Source organism: Homo sapiens, chromosome 17, assembly GCF_000001405.40.
Source record: "Homo sapiens chromosome 17, GRCh38.p14 Primary Assembly".
NCBI lineage: Eukaryota > Metazoa > Chordata > Mammalia > Primates > Hominidae > Homo > Homo sapiens.
The window spans coordinates 34,506,881-34,523,284 of NC_000017.11; the positions used below are offsets into that span (position 1 = coordinate 34,506,881).

At 47.5% G+C, this 16,404-nt stretch overlaps 1 annotated feature.

The window, feature by feature from the left end:
• Positions 2,900 to 3,401: an enhancer, noted in NCBI's record as "NANOG hESC enhancer chr17:32836799-32837300 (GRCh37/hg19 assembly coordinates)". NCBI's record gives its function as "activates a minimal SCP1, AML or CMV promoter by ChIP-STARR-seq in naive H9 embryonic stem cells {active_cell/tissue: H9 hESC(naive)}" and the evidence as "EXISTENCE:reporter gene assay evidence [ECO:0000049][PMID:30033119]".

A 16,404-nucleotide genomic window follows, 5' to 3' on the forward strand; every position in this document is an offset into this window, starting at 1 on the left:
GGCAGAGGTCCACACAGAGGGAACAGCCTAGGCAGACTCTGAGGCAGGAGCATGCTTGACAGAGCTGAGGAAGAGCCAAGAGGCCAGTGTGGCTAAAGAGGGAAATGCCCTTTTTTTATAGGATAGAAATGAGACCAGAGAAATAGTGAGAGATCGGATAATGAGGGGCCTGGAGATGTCCATTGTCTGTGCATTGTCTATTATTCAGAGTAAGATAAGAAATCACTGAAAGCCTTTGAGGAGTGGCATGATCTGACTTGTGTTCTAAAAGAATCTCTCTGGGCAGTTTGTGAAGAATAGACAGTAGGGCAGCAAGGGCAAAGTCAGGGAGCCCAGTTAGGAAGTTATTGCATGATCCAGAAGAGAGATGATGGTAGCTTGAACAGATAGAAACACATATATAATACTTAGAACAGACCCTGGCACATACAAAGTGCTCAGTCAATGCTATCTATAATTATTATTGCTGGCATCATCAAATTCATCATCATCATCTAGGGTAGGAGGTCAGGAAAAGTCTTAACCATCCTGCGTTCCCAGCAGGAACAAATCCCAGACCCTGCTGAACCCCACATGAGGCTGTGTGAACCTGGGGACCCACTTCGGAAACTCACAGGCTCTGGGTTAAGGTTTCACACACTGCCTCCTCCCTCCCACCTCAGTTCCCTGAGAGCAGTGACAGGGCTTTCTGACACACACAGTACTTTAGTTTGGGGGAAGAAGCAGATGGAAGAAGCCTGGGTGCAGTAGAGCTCCTAAGCAAGGATGGGAAACACAAAAGAAAATAGCCTGGCAGGGCGTGGTGGCTCATGCCTATAATCCCAGCACTTTGGGAAGCTGAGGCGGGTGGATTGCCTGAGCTCAGGAGTTTGAGACCAGCCTGGGCAACATAGTGAGACCCTGTCTCTACAAAAAAAAAAAAGAAATAGCCAGGCACCTGTAGTCCCAGCTACTCGGGAGGCTGAGGTGGAAGGATTGCTCGAGCCCAGGAGGTTGAGGCTGCAGTGAGTTGTGAATGCACCACTGCACTCCAGCCTGGGAGACAGAGCGAGACTCTGTCAAAAAAGAAAGAAAGAAGGAAAGAAAGAAGGAAAGAAAGAAAGAAAGAAAGAAAGAAAGAAAGAAAGAAAGAAAGAAAGAAAGAAAGAAAGAAAGAAAGAAAAGAAAGAGAGAGAGAGAGAGAGAAAGGAAAGGAAAGGAAAGGAAAGGAAAGGAAAGGAAAGGAAAGGAAAGGAAAGGAAAGGAAAGGAAAGGAAAGGAAAGGAAAGGAAAGGAAAGGAAAGGAAAGAAAGGGGCCCAAGCTGAGCACAAGTTGTTGCTGTCTCATGTGGTCATCTCATTTCATCCAAAACGCATTCTGAAGTAGTTACCTCCATTCCTCATAAAAGAAAAGAGGACCTGAGAAAAGTGAACTGCCCAGGTATTAGTAGGAGACCCAGGATTCTGACTTGGGAGCAGTGGAACACCCAAGAACCTCTGTTCCCCAGTGGGCAGCTCAGCCTCCCCAGGTAGATTGTGTACATTCTCTGACTTAGGGCTAAGGGCTCCAAACAGGACTGAGACCAAAAGTCACACTTCTGAGTGCCTCCCCACATCTGAATCTCCAGTACATAGAACCAAGCAGTTCTGAAATCACACTTTCCTTTGCTCCTTTGTTTACAAAGATAAGATGTCTTCTTCTTCATTATAGAAAACAGTGGTTTTTCATAAACTGTTATCTCTATTGGCCATTGTTTTTTACAAACACAACAATGATATGCTCTCACCTGATAGAATTTTCCAAATTAATTTCAGAGAAAACCACCTATCTGTGCCAAGGAACTGAACCTCCAATATTCCTGGAAAATATTTGGCCTTTCCTTTCTAACAAAGAAGCCTATCAAGGCTTTTTCTATCATAGTTAACCTATAAAACATCATGTATAACTGTGTCAAAAAAAAAAACTGAGTATCCTTAGGAAAAAGGCTAATTCTAAAACCAGGAGAAGAAAAAGTACAAAATAAACTAGAAACAAGGAAACTACCAAACATTATCAAAGATTATTGGATTTCTGTCAAAATGTCAAGGGAACCAAAATAACTAGGCTCCCATTGGTCAAAGATGGTATAATTTAAGCATCAATAAGAACAATAACTACCCTGTATTAAAATACATCAAAATGTTTAAATTAGTGAGTTTATTATGATACTTGTTTTGAAAAGTGGCAAATAAAGGGAAAAAAGTCAAACATTTATCCTGCCTTTCCTACACAAATGATACCACTGGGTAACCAAATACTTTATAAGAAGAAATTTATATAGAAGTATCACAGTCCTAATAAATGATAAATAAATAATAACAAATAAATGATAAATGAAGAATGAATAACTGCTGTATCATTTTGTAGCAACTAATGGATTAGTAGAACTAGGAAAGACAACTAGACATTGATACCTCCCCATAGAAGAACACAAGACCACCTGTGTAGTGACCTTGGCAAAAATAAATCAAACCTTAATCTGATCAAGCTTCCAGATATATCCAGCTCCCCACCTATAGGAAATTTAGGGATACAGGAATCCACCATAGCATTCAGTAAAATCAGATTATGGGAAAATCTACAGGAAAAAGGACCCAGCAAGAAGGAAAAAAAGATTGGAATTGGAAGTGAAAACTGTAGATTAAAGGAAAGTTAAGAGACATGCCAATCAAAACAGATAGGTCTTATTGGATCTTGATAATAGCAAGTACAAAACAAAAAAGTCTATGAGACAATGAAGGCAATGTCAACACTGATTAGGTATTTGATGACATTAAGGAATTACTGTGATTTTTTTGGTGGGTGTTTGCATCAATTAGCTATTGCTGAATAACAAACCATCCCAAAATACAGTGACTTAAATATGCAAATATTTTGTCTACCTATGATTCTGCCAGACGATGAATATGGGCAGTGTCACCTAGGATGGCTCATATCTATCCCACATGGTGTGGCTGGGATCACTCATATGCATGGAGCCTCAACAGAAACGGCTGTTCTCTCTCTCTCTCCCTCTCTCTCTCTCTCTCTTTCTCTCTCCCTCTTTGTGGTCTTGTGTTCTCTCATTCTCAAGGATGCTAGCCTGGGCTTCTTCCTGCCTTCATACGGTGGCAGAAGCATTCATAGTAAGCATCAAAAGAGGGAAGGCCCCAATGGGCAGGTGCTTTCTGAGCCTCTGCCTTGTGCTGTATTTGTTCTTGTCCCATTGACCAAAGAGACACACATTGTCCAGCTCAGAGTTATTGTAGGAGGGGACTTCACCAACACTAATGGCCATAGCTCATCAAAGGTCATTACTATGGTGACCTACCACAGGGTGACCATGGTAGAATGGTTATGGTTTTTAAAAGAGTTTTTATCCCCTAGAAATACATATTAAATATTTCCATATAAAATGATAAGCCTGAAAATAACAGGAGGTGGGAAGGAGAGAGTGGGTGGGTATAGAGAAGAAATAAGATTGGCCATGAATTTACTGAGGCTGATTGATGAATACATAGGGGATCATTACATTATTGTCTCTATTTTATATGTGTTCAAAATTTTTATGGTAAAAAGTTTATTTTAAATGGCTAGTCAGTGTCCAACACTAGGAGAACCCAAGGGGGACTACAGCCTTCTCCCATTGTTGCTGCTTCAAGATATTGTGTCCTACTTCCCAAGGTAATGATGTGTGAGGCAATAACAGGGGGCATTTTCTAGGCACGCGGCTCCCTTCCCTCTCTGGAGAGTCATGTGAAACCCAGCAATTTGTATAAGCAACACAGTGGGCCAAAATCCATTCCCCTTGCATACACAACACCTATGATTTTATTTATTAGTATTCACTTCTTTCCCAGGTTATTGTAAGACTTAGGACATGGACCTATTCTGGATGATAAATTACATCTCATTGCAATTATTAACTGAAAGAAGAATGAAAGAATGAGAATTCAGGAGCCATAAAGGGGGTGGGGTGAGAGGCAGTGGCCTCCTTAACAGGGAGTTAACAGAGAAGGAGGAAGAAGAGAAGAAATAAATCTCAGCCAACTGGTATCAATCAACACTTATTGCATGCATAATGTATACTGAACACTTATTTGCAGAGAAAAAGAAAAAAATGTAAAGTGCATTAGACACTGTTCATGTCTTTCCATGCTTATAGTCAGTTATTCCTTCAAAATATTTATTGAATAACTACTGTATGTCAGGCCCTGTTAGATGCTAGATGAGAATAACAAGAGGATTTAAGACACTTTTCCAATCTGTATTAATGAGGGTCTATTCCAGTTGTAATAATAAATTACAATTTAAATGGTTTAAGCAGAAAAGATAACTTACTGGCTTGTGTAGCTGGAAAGTCTGGAGGTAGCTTCAGGCACATCTGGATCCAGGTGCTCCAACAATGTTGTCAAGAGTCTGTCTCTTTTCATCTCTTAATCAGCTTCCCTCTGTGCGGGCATCATTCCCAGACAGACTTTCCTACCGGCAACAACAGGCTTACATCCTACCGCATTGGCAGCAAGTGTTCCAGGACTGAGTCTCCCTGGAACAGCTTGGCCCAGTGCCCATTCTCAGTCAGGGAGAAGGAGCATTCTGATGGGCCAGGTCTAGATTGTAGGCCTGGCTCTGTGACTGTGGAAGAGGTCAGACCCATTCACCAACACAGACTGAGAGAGGAAAAGGGCAGCTCCTCCAAAGAATAATCACATTGTTGCCACTAGAAGGAGGAGGGACAGATATGGACCTGGCAAAGTAACCAAAGTCCTCTCAGTACTTGCAGTCATTCATTCATTCACTCAGTAAGTCCTTCTTTTGTGCATGTCATGTGCCAGGTTGTATTGTAGGTGCTGGGGATACAGTAGTGAACAAGACAGACAAAGTTACTGAGCCTTGTATTTTAGAGGTAGAGACAGAAAACAAATGTGTCAACAATCCATTTTTGTGTAAATTACAGACAGGGTGTTGTAGGAGAGAATAACAGAGATAATCTTCTTGAAATGGGTGGTCAGGGAGGGCTCACTGAGGCGAGGATATTAAAGCTGGGAGGCGGAGGGTGAGAAGGAGCCTTAAGCATCCCAAGTGTGGATTGGGAACTGAGGGTGGGGAGATGAATACGGCATCCTCCCTGCCCTTGAGGAGCTCATGGCTGAATGGGAGAGAAGATGAGTAGATAGAAACCCTGCCATACAGTACAGCAAGTGCTATCTATAATATAGACAGGATCCCTCCCTGGGGACATCAAAAAGGAAGTAACTAAATCAGATGATAAGGCTTGGTGGTGGCGGCGGAGAGTTAGAAGGCTTTACAGAGACATTTGAGCTGAACCTTAAAGGATAAGCAGATAGAAGTTAGAAACAAGGGAAAAGGAATTACAGACAAGGGGGACCATCATGAGGCAAATATCAGGCATAGCTGGGGAGGAGTGATGCTCAGTCTGGTGGGTACACTGAGGCCACAGCCGTGGGGAAGGCTGGGCTCATCTGTGAAGGTGGTTAATAATGTCTTGACTGCCCCACCCACATGGAACAAGCTTGAGGGAAACAGGTCAGATCAAGGCTTGAGTTCACTGTGTAGCCAAACAGGAAAGAAGGACTCAGCTCCCTGGGAGCACCCTAAAGGGCTTCAGGCAGGAGGGGGCTTTTGAGCTGTGCTTTGAATAAATTCATCTCCCTCTTCTTTATCCCCTAACAATTAACATGTCTTCATTAAGCCAGACAGAGGACTAGGAGAAGTACAAAGCAGGAGGCATGATCTCTGACCTCGGTTTGCTCTTGTGGAGTCAACTCACAGACCACAAGTTAGATTGACCTTGACTCTACACTGGAAGGAGCCTTAGATACAGTCTAGTGGCTCTGAGATTCAGAGAGGGCAAGTGAGTTGCACAAAGTCACACAGAAAACTAAGACTAGAATCCTAATTCTTCTCCCTGCTTTTGAGCAAATGAGTGCTTTGCACCTGGTACCTTCCACCCATCAGTCCTGTTTCTGCCCCCTGGGGCCTCTGGAGCCAGTCCAAGTTCTTTCTAATATGTCAAAACAGTCCAGAAACTCCCCAGCCTTTTCTTCCTCAAGTCAAGTTCCTTCAGCTTTGCTCCAGATGGCTCAAAGTTCAGACTCTTCAGCACCCACCTCCAATTTGTCGAAGTCCATCTCCAAGTGTGGTGCCTAGGACTGGATACCAGTGTCCCACAGAGTGGGTTATCACTTCTTTACTCTGAGCATCGTACCGTCTCTGCGTTCATCAATCCCAGGGCATTGTTCAGAGCAGCAGGAGTTGAATTGAGCTTCCCCAGAATCATTGCATGAGCTCCCACCTGCAGCCTCCAAACCTGTGCACTCTTAGCTTGAAATTAATTTAGCAGCAGCCAAAGGTTCCACTGGGGTGCACTCTAGAGAGTATGTTCCTCAACTATGTGGGGATTAGGGCAGGGAGCAGATTTATGAGTAGGAAGACGGAGGGAAGCTGTGAGGGCAAAAACACGAGCCTGGGTCTGTCCCAAGTGAAACTTTCCTCCCACTCCTCAGCCTTGACCACTGGACCCATTCCCACCCTTTCCCAGCTGAAATGCAGCAAATAAGCTGGCTGCTGCAAAAAGTGCATGGGGTGGGAAGAGCACTGTACAAGGAGTCAGGAGGCCTCAGCTCAGGCCTGCTTTGCCACCAGAGCACTGAGAGACCTTAGGCCAGTCAGTCTGCCTCTCTGAGCCTCACTTCCGCCATCTCTAAGTAGAATGTCTCTATGTTTTACATGCATATCTTTCTTCATGATGGCAGCAATCACTGATTCCTGGGGGCTACCCGAAGCTTCCTAAAGGCCATTGGTTAGCATGGATCCACTACCAGGAGGTGAGGGCTACTGTTCTTGTGTATAAATGGTTGGGGACAGTCCCCCTGTTTGGGACTGTGCCCTCCAAGACAGAGAGACACCCAAGGACCCTTCCAGAGGCAGGAGGAAGGAGTGGTCAAGACTAACTTGCCAGATAAAGTGCAGAACGCCCAGTTAATCTGAATTTTGGATAAACAACAACTAATTTTAGTGTAAGTGTATCCCAAGACTTGCATGGGATATACTTATACAAAAATATATTTGTTTTTTATTTGAAATTCAAATTAAGTGTCTGTCCTGTATTTTTATTTGCTTAATCTAAGCCAGACCCAGGTGAAGTTGGAAGTGTTTGTGGGGAGACACCAAGTACCAAACACCTAGTTGCACCCCCTCATCCCCCAACTTTTTGCTTCCTGCCTCTGTGTGGTCCTCACTGCCATGAAGCTGAGCATACAGAAGGAGAAGCAGGAAGCCCCAAAGCAATGGCAGGAGTGGGAAGATGTGAGAAAATGAAGGAGACGGAGAGGAACACTGCACCAGAGAGAGACGGTGCCTTTCTGGAGGTCACCTGTCCCTGCAGAAGTGGGACAGTCAGAGTGGGTAGAGGTGCCACAGAGCACCAAGTTAAGGCAGCGGGCACCTGTGTTCAGAACTGTAGCATCATAAAGCCTCTTAGAGGGAAAATATCTCCCTGCAAGGTGGCCTGGACCCCAGCAGAGAGAGGGCCAAGCAGGAGCCGATTACTGCTGACAAGCTGGGTTTTTTTTTAAGCCTCTCTCATTCTTACTCTCTTAAAGATCCTTTCCTGCCACCAGTTGATGTAGTCTCCGAGGGGATGCTCTGAATCCCCAAACACCCATAATAATCGCCTTGTTTTTATTTCATCTGGGGATAAGCACTGTGGCTGAGAGGACAGCAGGCTCCAATTTGAGCCCTGGACCTAGAGAGACGGTGCCAGGGCAGACATGTCTCCTCATTCCCCGAGACCCAGAGATCTCATTCCTTATCCCCTTTCGGGATCCCAGCACCACCCTCCACACACACCCTCCCTGGCCCCTCTCCTACCGCTATACCTGAATTAACTAAGTACTCAGTGACCCAGGCCTCCAACAAGCAGCCGGTCAAGCCTGGAGAGTGTTTTAATTCTGTACCACTCTGGTGCTGTCTCCAAAAACAAGCACTGTTGGTTTCCCAGGGGCCTTCCCTGCACAGAATTTTGCATGACTATTATTCACAACTGGTAGGGACCTGAACTGTCAGCCTGCACCCCAGGCAGGGTCCCTTAATGCGTGGCCCAGCCTGCAGGGAGCTCTCAGTTCCTGGGAAGTACGACAAGGGTTTGGGTCCATCCAACTCCTGCAGCCAGGAAAGGGCATCACTGGGGAAAGGAGAGGAATGGGAAGAACAAGGAGACAAGGGGACATCAGTCTCAGTGTGCCTGGAGTGGGAGACAATGGGGGTCAAGGATTTTCACAGCAGAAATTAACCAGTTCTTCCCCTGTTGCAATAAAATTTTCCATTGGTACCTTCCACCCTGATATCAGTTCTGCCCGCTGAGGCCTCTGGAGGAAGTCTAAGTTACTTTTAATACGTCAAAACAGTGCAGAAACTCTCCAGTCTTTTCGTCTCTATGTCCAGCTCCTTCAACTTTGTTCCAGATGGCTCAAAGTTCAGACTCTCCATCACCCACCTCTAGTGTGTCAAAGGCCATCTCAAAGTGCAGTGCCTAGGACTGAACCCTGGTGTCCTGCACAGAGTGGGTTATCACCTCCTTTGCTCTGAGCACCACATCTCTACAAATGCTGCCAAAGATGTTGCTAATTTCTATCCAAAGGCTAGACTGAGCCCCAGCCACTGACCTAGTCACAGTAGAAGGAGGAAAACTCCCAAGAAGTCAAATACTCAAGAAACCCTAAAGCAGGAAGAAACACCCCAAAACTCTAAAGTTGGCTTTGGCAAATACAGCCAAATTCCACTTTTTCTGTTACCCAGACTGCCCAGGCTCACCCCCACCTTTTCCAGCCTTCCTTTCTCTTTCAGCTTCTCTTTGCCACCTCTTCTCATCCGACATCAAATAACTGTATGACCTTGGGCAAGTCACTTTGCCTCTCGGAAGCTCTTGTTCTTCATCTGAAATGACAGTAATAATCCCTGGGCTGCTTACGTCGCAGGCCTGCATGAGACTCGATTGAGATAATTAATGGATGAGAAAGCACTTTGAAAATTAGTCAACACTGCGCAAATGAAAGGCACTCTTTATTCCTTTATTCATTTATTTACTAATCTTGCACATGACCCTGCACTGAGAATTCCACAAAAGGAGAGAACTAAGCAGAGCTCATGACTGCCCAGAGCTTAAATTCTGGAATGTCAGAGGCAGAGGAACCTTAGAGAGCAGCAAGCATAACCCCTTCATTGTACAGGCGGGGAAACTGAGGCCCAAATTATTGTAATAGTCAACGTATGTTAAGCTATTTCTAAGTACTTTGGGGTCTTAACTTCTTTAAGCCTCTAAAATCCTATGGAGCAGGTACTATTATTCCCCTGTTTAAAAGATGAGGAAACTAAGGTTCAGAGAAGTGAAGTAACTTGTCCCAGATCATGCAGCTAACAGGAAGCAAAAACAGAATTCAAGCCTGGAAAGGCTTATTCCAGAACACATATCTTGACTACTGTGCAAGGTCACCCAGTGTGAAAGGAGCAGAGGCTGCCAGCCAGGGCTCCTTCCATTCCAGGCTGTCCCCACATTGAGAAACAGACTGGCCACAAATAGAAGTAGGGCCCGAAAGCAGCTCAAAGTGGCCCCATCCCATGAGACCTACCATCACTTTGGGTACCCACCCATGTATGCCTTATGCCCTGGGTCAGAAGGAGGAATCTTGGAGGAAAGTCACGTCTGGAAGGAGGGGTATTCAGCACAGCAAGAAAATAGCAGAATACTAGAAACAGGGAAAAGAAAGAGAGTAGAAAAGAGGCTTCCCAAAGACAGGGAATAAGAAGGGGCATGTGAGGTGTCAGAGGTGACTGGGACAGGCATGAAGCTGCTCTGGTCAGCACTTGGACATCCACTGAATACATCCTCATCAGGGCCTCCTACTGTGCTAGGCCCAGGGCAGGGGACATAAGACACAAGCAGTTTCACAACTCCTGAATACCTGCCAGGTGCCAGCCCCAGGGCTCAGCACCAGGCACACAGACTCAAGTCCTGAGCCCAGGGTTTCACATTCTAGGAGGTATCCCAAGACAAACTATTAAAAATCCTCAAGATTTTAAAGCTGTAGATTCAAAGTCAAGAGCCCGGGTTTCTGGCCTAAGCCCTTGTTTGCTGTGTGGTTTTAGGGTAAGTCACTTCCTTAACCTTCATTGGCTGCCATCTTCCCATCTGTAAAATGGGGACAGCAAATCTGACCTATCTCACCACTGGGTTTCCCTAAAGAGGACATGAGCTTCTGGCTCTGAAAGAATTTGATTTAGGAAGTGCCATCATTTGTGAGGATGCTGATTGAGGTGGAGGGTGGCAATGAGGTGACTGGAAGAGAGTGAGGAATGGGAAAAGTGGTCCTATGTCTGAGCTGACTTGTGGGACAAGAATGGAGGAAATAGGTAGAACCTGAGTCTCCTGCTTTTGAGCCCACGGCTCCTTCCACTGTACTTGATGCCAATACTCCCTACAATGAATCCATTGCTAAAAATGCTAGAGTTAGGTTACATTACTAGATGTAGAGTGCCCAGACCCAGGAAGAAGGCAGATAGCCTGGTCTCTCTAATCAGGCAGGATCTATGGTGGGGGTCCATCCTGAGCCCCATGCTTTGGGCAGAGTAGTGACACATGGAAGCACATCCACAGAGGCGGCTCAGTGTGGCACAGGAACTGGTAACCAAGCCCTCAAGATCTAGATAAGGGCATTGCAGGTGTTTCCACTGGAGAAGAGGTGACTCAGGGCTCATGAACCTGCCTGCCCATCCAGAGCTCCTCCCATGGTCCCCACCTGGCTCCTTGCAGTCCAAGCCCCCAGAGGCCTGCCCACTTACTCCTCTGCTTCACTCTCACAGAGCTAGATAATTCAGGTATGAGGCCAGAATGGAGTTGTAGCCAGGGCCCTTAAGAAAATGTCCCAAGGATGTATCTCAGCCCCAACTTCACCTGCAAGGCAGGACCTACAGGCTCAATGAACTCTCTTGTTCCCAGATAATAGCTCTCCATTACCTACCAGAGGAGAGCCAAGGCCCCTTTCCAGGTAACCAATCCACTTCCTAAATTCACCCCCATCACAACACTTTCCCTCAGCCTCACTGTCTCATGTTTCCATGCTCAAGCTGTCCCTTTTTCCCAAAGGCGCTTCTCCCCCATCTTGTTCTGTTGAAAACCTCCCATCCTCCAAAGTCCTCTGGCATCAGAAAGGGTGGAATCTGAACCCAAGCCCTGTGACTTATTAACGCCATGACCTGGGGTTGCCCATTTAACTGCCCTGGCTTCAGTGTCTGCATCTGTTAAATGGGGATGGATGAAGATTCAAGGTGCGGTTTCAAATAGCCCTTCTTAAATACCAACATGCAAGCAATCACCCTTGGATATCGTTGTCCAGCAGACATTGATTCAGTAGGTCTGGAGTAGGGCCCAAATGTGTGCATTTCTAACCAACTCCCAGGTGATGCTGCTGGTGCTGGCACACCTGGAGGAATGCGCATTTCAAACACCTCATCTAATGACTCGCAAGTAGCGCTAGCTCCCTGGAGTTGCAGGAATGGAGGGGTGCAGCCAGGTGAATACGGGGCCCAGGATATCCCTGGGGACTCTGAGGCTGCTGGAGGCCTCTCCTCCCTTCCACCCAGCCTAGCAGTTTTTAAGTGTGCTAGTACCTTACTAGGGGATCCAATCCCACAACCCCAGCCTTTTAATAGAGATAAGTTTACCAAGAACCTCAAAGGTGACCTCAAAGGGACCTCCCTCCCAATAAATGTGAACTTTGAGAACAAAGGTGGCAGGACAGGGGGTCCCAGAAGGATAATCTGAATAAAGGTGGAGTGGGGTAGAAGGGTGGGCTCCCCAACTCTGCCTTGGCACTAGGGAAAGTGAGTTGAGGACATCACAGACCTGATGGTCAGCTCTGAGAACAGGCCCTTAGGCCTCTGCTCACTCTTAGAGACTAGGCACCCCCAAACTTGGGCTGAGCCTGCTACCCATTTGCATATCCTGCCAGCAGCCGTGGGGCCTCTGGATCCCAGATGGATCCTGGAATCAAATCCTGCCTCTGAGAGTCAGCCACCAACCCCCAGTGTGACCTGGGCCCAGGCACCACCCCTCTGGGCTCCCAGGCTCCTTGCTGTAACATTTGAGGTGGATTCCATGGTTTCTGAGCTTCTTCTCTGGGGCTGTAATCATTCGAATGGAGGCTAGAAGGAGGAGGGCATGCAGGGATAAAGTGACAGCGTGGGGGCATGGAGAACCAAAACACCCAAAGAGAAAAATTCTACTTGTAAACTATTAAATATAGAGTTACTTTGTCAGGAAACAGGGCACACAGCACCATAAAAATTAAAGTAATTTACTATGAAACTCCATCCTGTTTTATTTTGTGTTATTCCCAAGCCAAAACTCCCAAGCTGACCTAAGTCAAGAATATCAACAGCACAGGCAGCAGCAGAGGAAGAAAAGAGAGCGCGTTCTCACCTTAGCACCATCTTGGGGCGACTCAACCCCACCTGTCTCCATGGAAACCAGGCAGAACCTGGTGGTCCAGGACTTGGCCAGAGAACCAGGGCCTTAGCGCCCTCTGTTGGGTGAAGCTGGACACAGCTTAGCCCAGGAGACAGCCCAGAGAGATGGGGGCCCCCATCCAGGCCAGGACAGGGTGGGGTTCAGCATCTCTGAAGGTTCTAAGCTGAGTCAGCCGCCCATCTCATGCCCTGCAAGCACAGCGAGGCTGGTCTCAGGTGCCACTGGTGGAGCAGAAAAAACTAAGGAGTCCCAGGGTTGCGATACTGCCCTACCTCTCACCAACTGGGAAATGCGGTAAGTTGCTGAAACTTTCTGGACCTTGGTTTTGTAAATTTCATCTGTAAAATAGGGATAGTTCCACTCAATTCACAGAGCTGTTGGGAGGAATAAATAAGAGCCTCTATGTCAGGTATCTGACCCTCCTGGGAGTTTAGCACCCTTAAGAAGTCCAGGCCCTTGAAACGGACCCAGACTCTCTGGGAGGAGGCTGCCTGCCCTGTGCACTCTGCACCCACCTCCCCCCACACTCATGCAGTGGCTCCTTGTCTGCTTTGCCTGGAGCATGAAGCCCCAACAGCAATGACAGTGGTGATAGCAGTAAACATTACCCAATTCTTCCTAGGTACACCTCTCATTTAGGTCGCACAACGGTCCTGATCCATGTGCATCCAGTGATGAAAGAGAGAGGTTGAGACCCTCCCAGGTCATACAGCAGCAAGCCAGGGGCTGGGCCTGCATGTGAGCCTAGATCTTTCTGCTCCCAAAGCTTGTGTACTTAACTACTACCCCAGACTTCCTCTCCTGTCATGGAAAGAATCCTGCCCAGAAAACCAGGGCTCCAAATCCTAATCTCAGCATTGCCACTGGGAAACCACGTGACTTGGGCAAATAACTCACCCCTGGCCTCGGTTTCCCTGTCCATTACCAAAGGGGTGAAGAAGATGATCTCTAGGGGCTCTTCTGGCTCTGATGTTGTGATTCCAGTGAGCCGATGGGGTGACAAGGAGTAAAGGCGAGGTTTGGTTCTCCCCAAAAAAAGTGATGACTATGGCAGAGCAGTGACAGCCAAGCCATAGAAGGCCTCCCCAGTGGCCTAATGACCTCTGCTAATGACAGGCTTACACATTGCCCCTGCTGTCTGTATCTGTGTTGGTCATGCCCCTGCTGTCTGTATCTGTATTGGTCACTGCTGCCTGACAGTGGCAAGTCCCCGCATAACCGCAGGGAACAGGAATCTCTGATCCGGCTTTGGATAGAAAACTCTCACCTGCATGTTCTCGCTATCTTACTTTCCCACTTGCTACAGCTCCCCTGGGCTCCTGTGATCAAAGTGTCTTTCCATAAGTCTCCCAGGGCTGGCACAGTCTGGTAGGAGGGGAGGAGACAGTGTGACAGACTCTGACTGAGCAGAGGGAAATCACAGGGAGGCCGCCAAGACATTCCTGCCCGCTTAGGCCAGAAGACATCACCTCCTCGTCCCCCTGGCCTGAGGAAGGCTGGAGGTAGTGCGGCAGGAGGCAACAATGAGAGGTAGGGAAAGGGGTGCAGCGTTCCTGGTCTTTAAAAATGAAGGCCACCACTCCCCTCCTGCCAGCAGATGTTGAACAGTGTGGTCCTGAAGAAGCATCCCAGCTGGCCTGGTTGTGAGATGCAGAAAGAGGATAACTCTCCCCAGCCCCCGCTGTTACCAAACCCCTCTGAGCCCTAGTTTTCATTAATCAAATGAGAATATAAGTACCCACCTACCTTCTAGACTCACTGTGACAATGATAAAACACACATAAAGAACTTAACGGTGTCTGGTACAAAAGGCTCTACAAATAGCTGCTCCCATCCTTTCTTCCCCATCCTTTCTGTCCCCACATGGAGGTTCAAGCCCCTAATCTCTAAGAGGCAGTAACAATGTGTAGGCCCTACCTCTTAGGGTTGACAGAAAAATTAACTAGCGACGCATGCTCATGGCACTCAAGCAAAGCCCCTCCTTCCCCTCCCGAGCCTCAGTTTCTGTGTCTGTAAACGAGAGCCAACAGCGCTCACTTCTCAAAGCTGCCGAGGGGACTGACAGAGGTGAACAGGCAGCATGTGGCGCATGCCTGGCACTTGGAAGGGGCCATCAGTACATGTGAGTCCCCCCACCCCAGCCCCGCCTGCTTGCTCAGGGCAGGACCTTGTCTGTTCATTGCCAGATACCATACTCAGAACAAGACCTGACACGTATCTATTTGTTGAATGAATAAATGCATGGAGACCCATTGCACAGATGGGAAAATCTAGGCACAAGTTCTGGGGTTCCACATTTGGTCCATCATAGGATTTGCTGTTGGGAGTGGACAGCACCACAAGAGCAGCTGATGCTTGGTAATGTGCAGCCACTTACACCACTGATTGGCAGCCAGCTGTCCTCTCAGGAGCTCAGCAGGAGGGAGCTAGGTAGTGCCGTCCTTCAGCTGCCAAGGGTTATTATTGCACAGGGACCAAGAGGGTCAGGGCCTTTCTTTCCAGGCTAAGTGGTTGTGGGCCGGATGGGCAGGAGGGTAGAGGGCCAGGAGAGAGGGCCGTAGATCTCCTGCCTCCTGCATGGTGGCTGCTACAGTCACCGCTCAGATTCATCGGAAGGGCCCACTTCCGGCAGAAAAGCAGGCCGGTATATCTCCATCAGAGACTCCTGCTCAAGGGCAGCACCATAAATCCTGGGGTGGGAGTGAGCAAGCGAGCAGGCCAACCACTCCTTGGTGAGCATCTTTCCTCCTGGGGCCTGGGTGCTCTGCACGAGGTGGGCACGGAAGCCCGTGCAGGAAGCATAATCTGCAGTTCTGCATCTGATCCATCAATAACACCAGGAGAAGAGCCTTCCTCCTGCTCCAAGCAGGCGGAGACAACTGCCTGTTTCTCACCTCCCCCTGAAGTCAGGAGTTTAACGCTCCCCCAGGACCAGGATCTCTCTCACTTCCTGCGATGCTTCTGCAGCTGCTCGCCTGTGTTCACCAGCTCAGCCGACCCTTCCCAGCCCAGGCTGCTGAGGAGAGAAAGGAGTACTCTGGCACCACACAAGAGGGAGGGGTGGGTGGGAAAGGAAGGATGGGAGCCAAAGCAAGGAAGAAGAGGTGGGCGGGGCTGGAGGCCTAGAGCCACAGACTCCTCAGCCAGCAAGCTACTTGTGCCTAGATGTTCCCATCTGTACAATGGGTCTCCATGCATGCATTTATTCATTCCACAAATATTTATGGGTCAGAATCTTGTTCTGAATGTTATATCTAGCAATGAATAGCAAGATCCTTCCCTGAGCAAGCTTGCATTCCAGTGAAGGAGACCAGCAGTGTCAAGGTAAACAGGTAGAGAAACTAGATTATTTCTGATAATAACTATGCAGAAAATTGGAGGAGTGTTGGAAGAGAGGGTGGCTGGGGTGAGGATACTACATAAGCTAGGAGTTCAGGGAAAATCTGAATAAGTGGCATTCGAGCTATGGTCTCAGTGATAAAGAATGACCAAGCAAGGAGATGAAGGGAGTGTGTTCCTGGCAGAGAGAATAGCAATACTAAGTCTTGAAGCAGAAAGGAGCTTAGCTTGTTCAGGCAGAATGGAAACCAGTGTCACTGAAATGTGGGAGGTGGGTGTCTAGGAAATGGGGTTAGTGAGGAAGGCAGAGGCACATAATGCAGGGCCTTGTAGACCATAGGCTGCAAAAGGGCTGTGGATTTCACTTACAATGGAAACACATTGGAGGGTTTTGAGCCAGGGACATGCTCTGATTTAAATCTGATGCAGCCTCCTGGAGCTGCTTTGTAGAGAGTAATTTGAAGAGGGCAGGAGTGGAAGCCCTAGGTAAGGAATGAGGCCCCATAATAGTTATAAATAT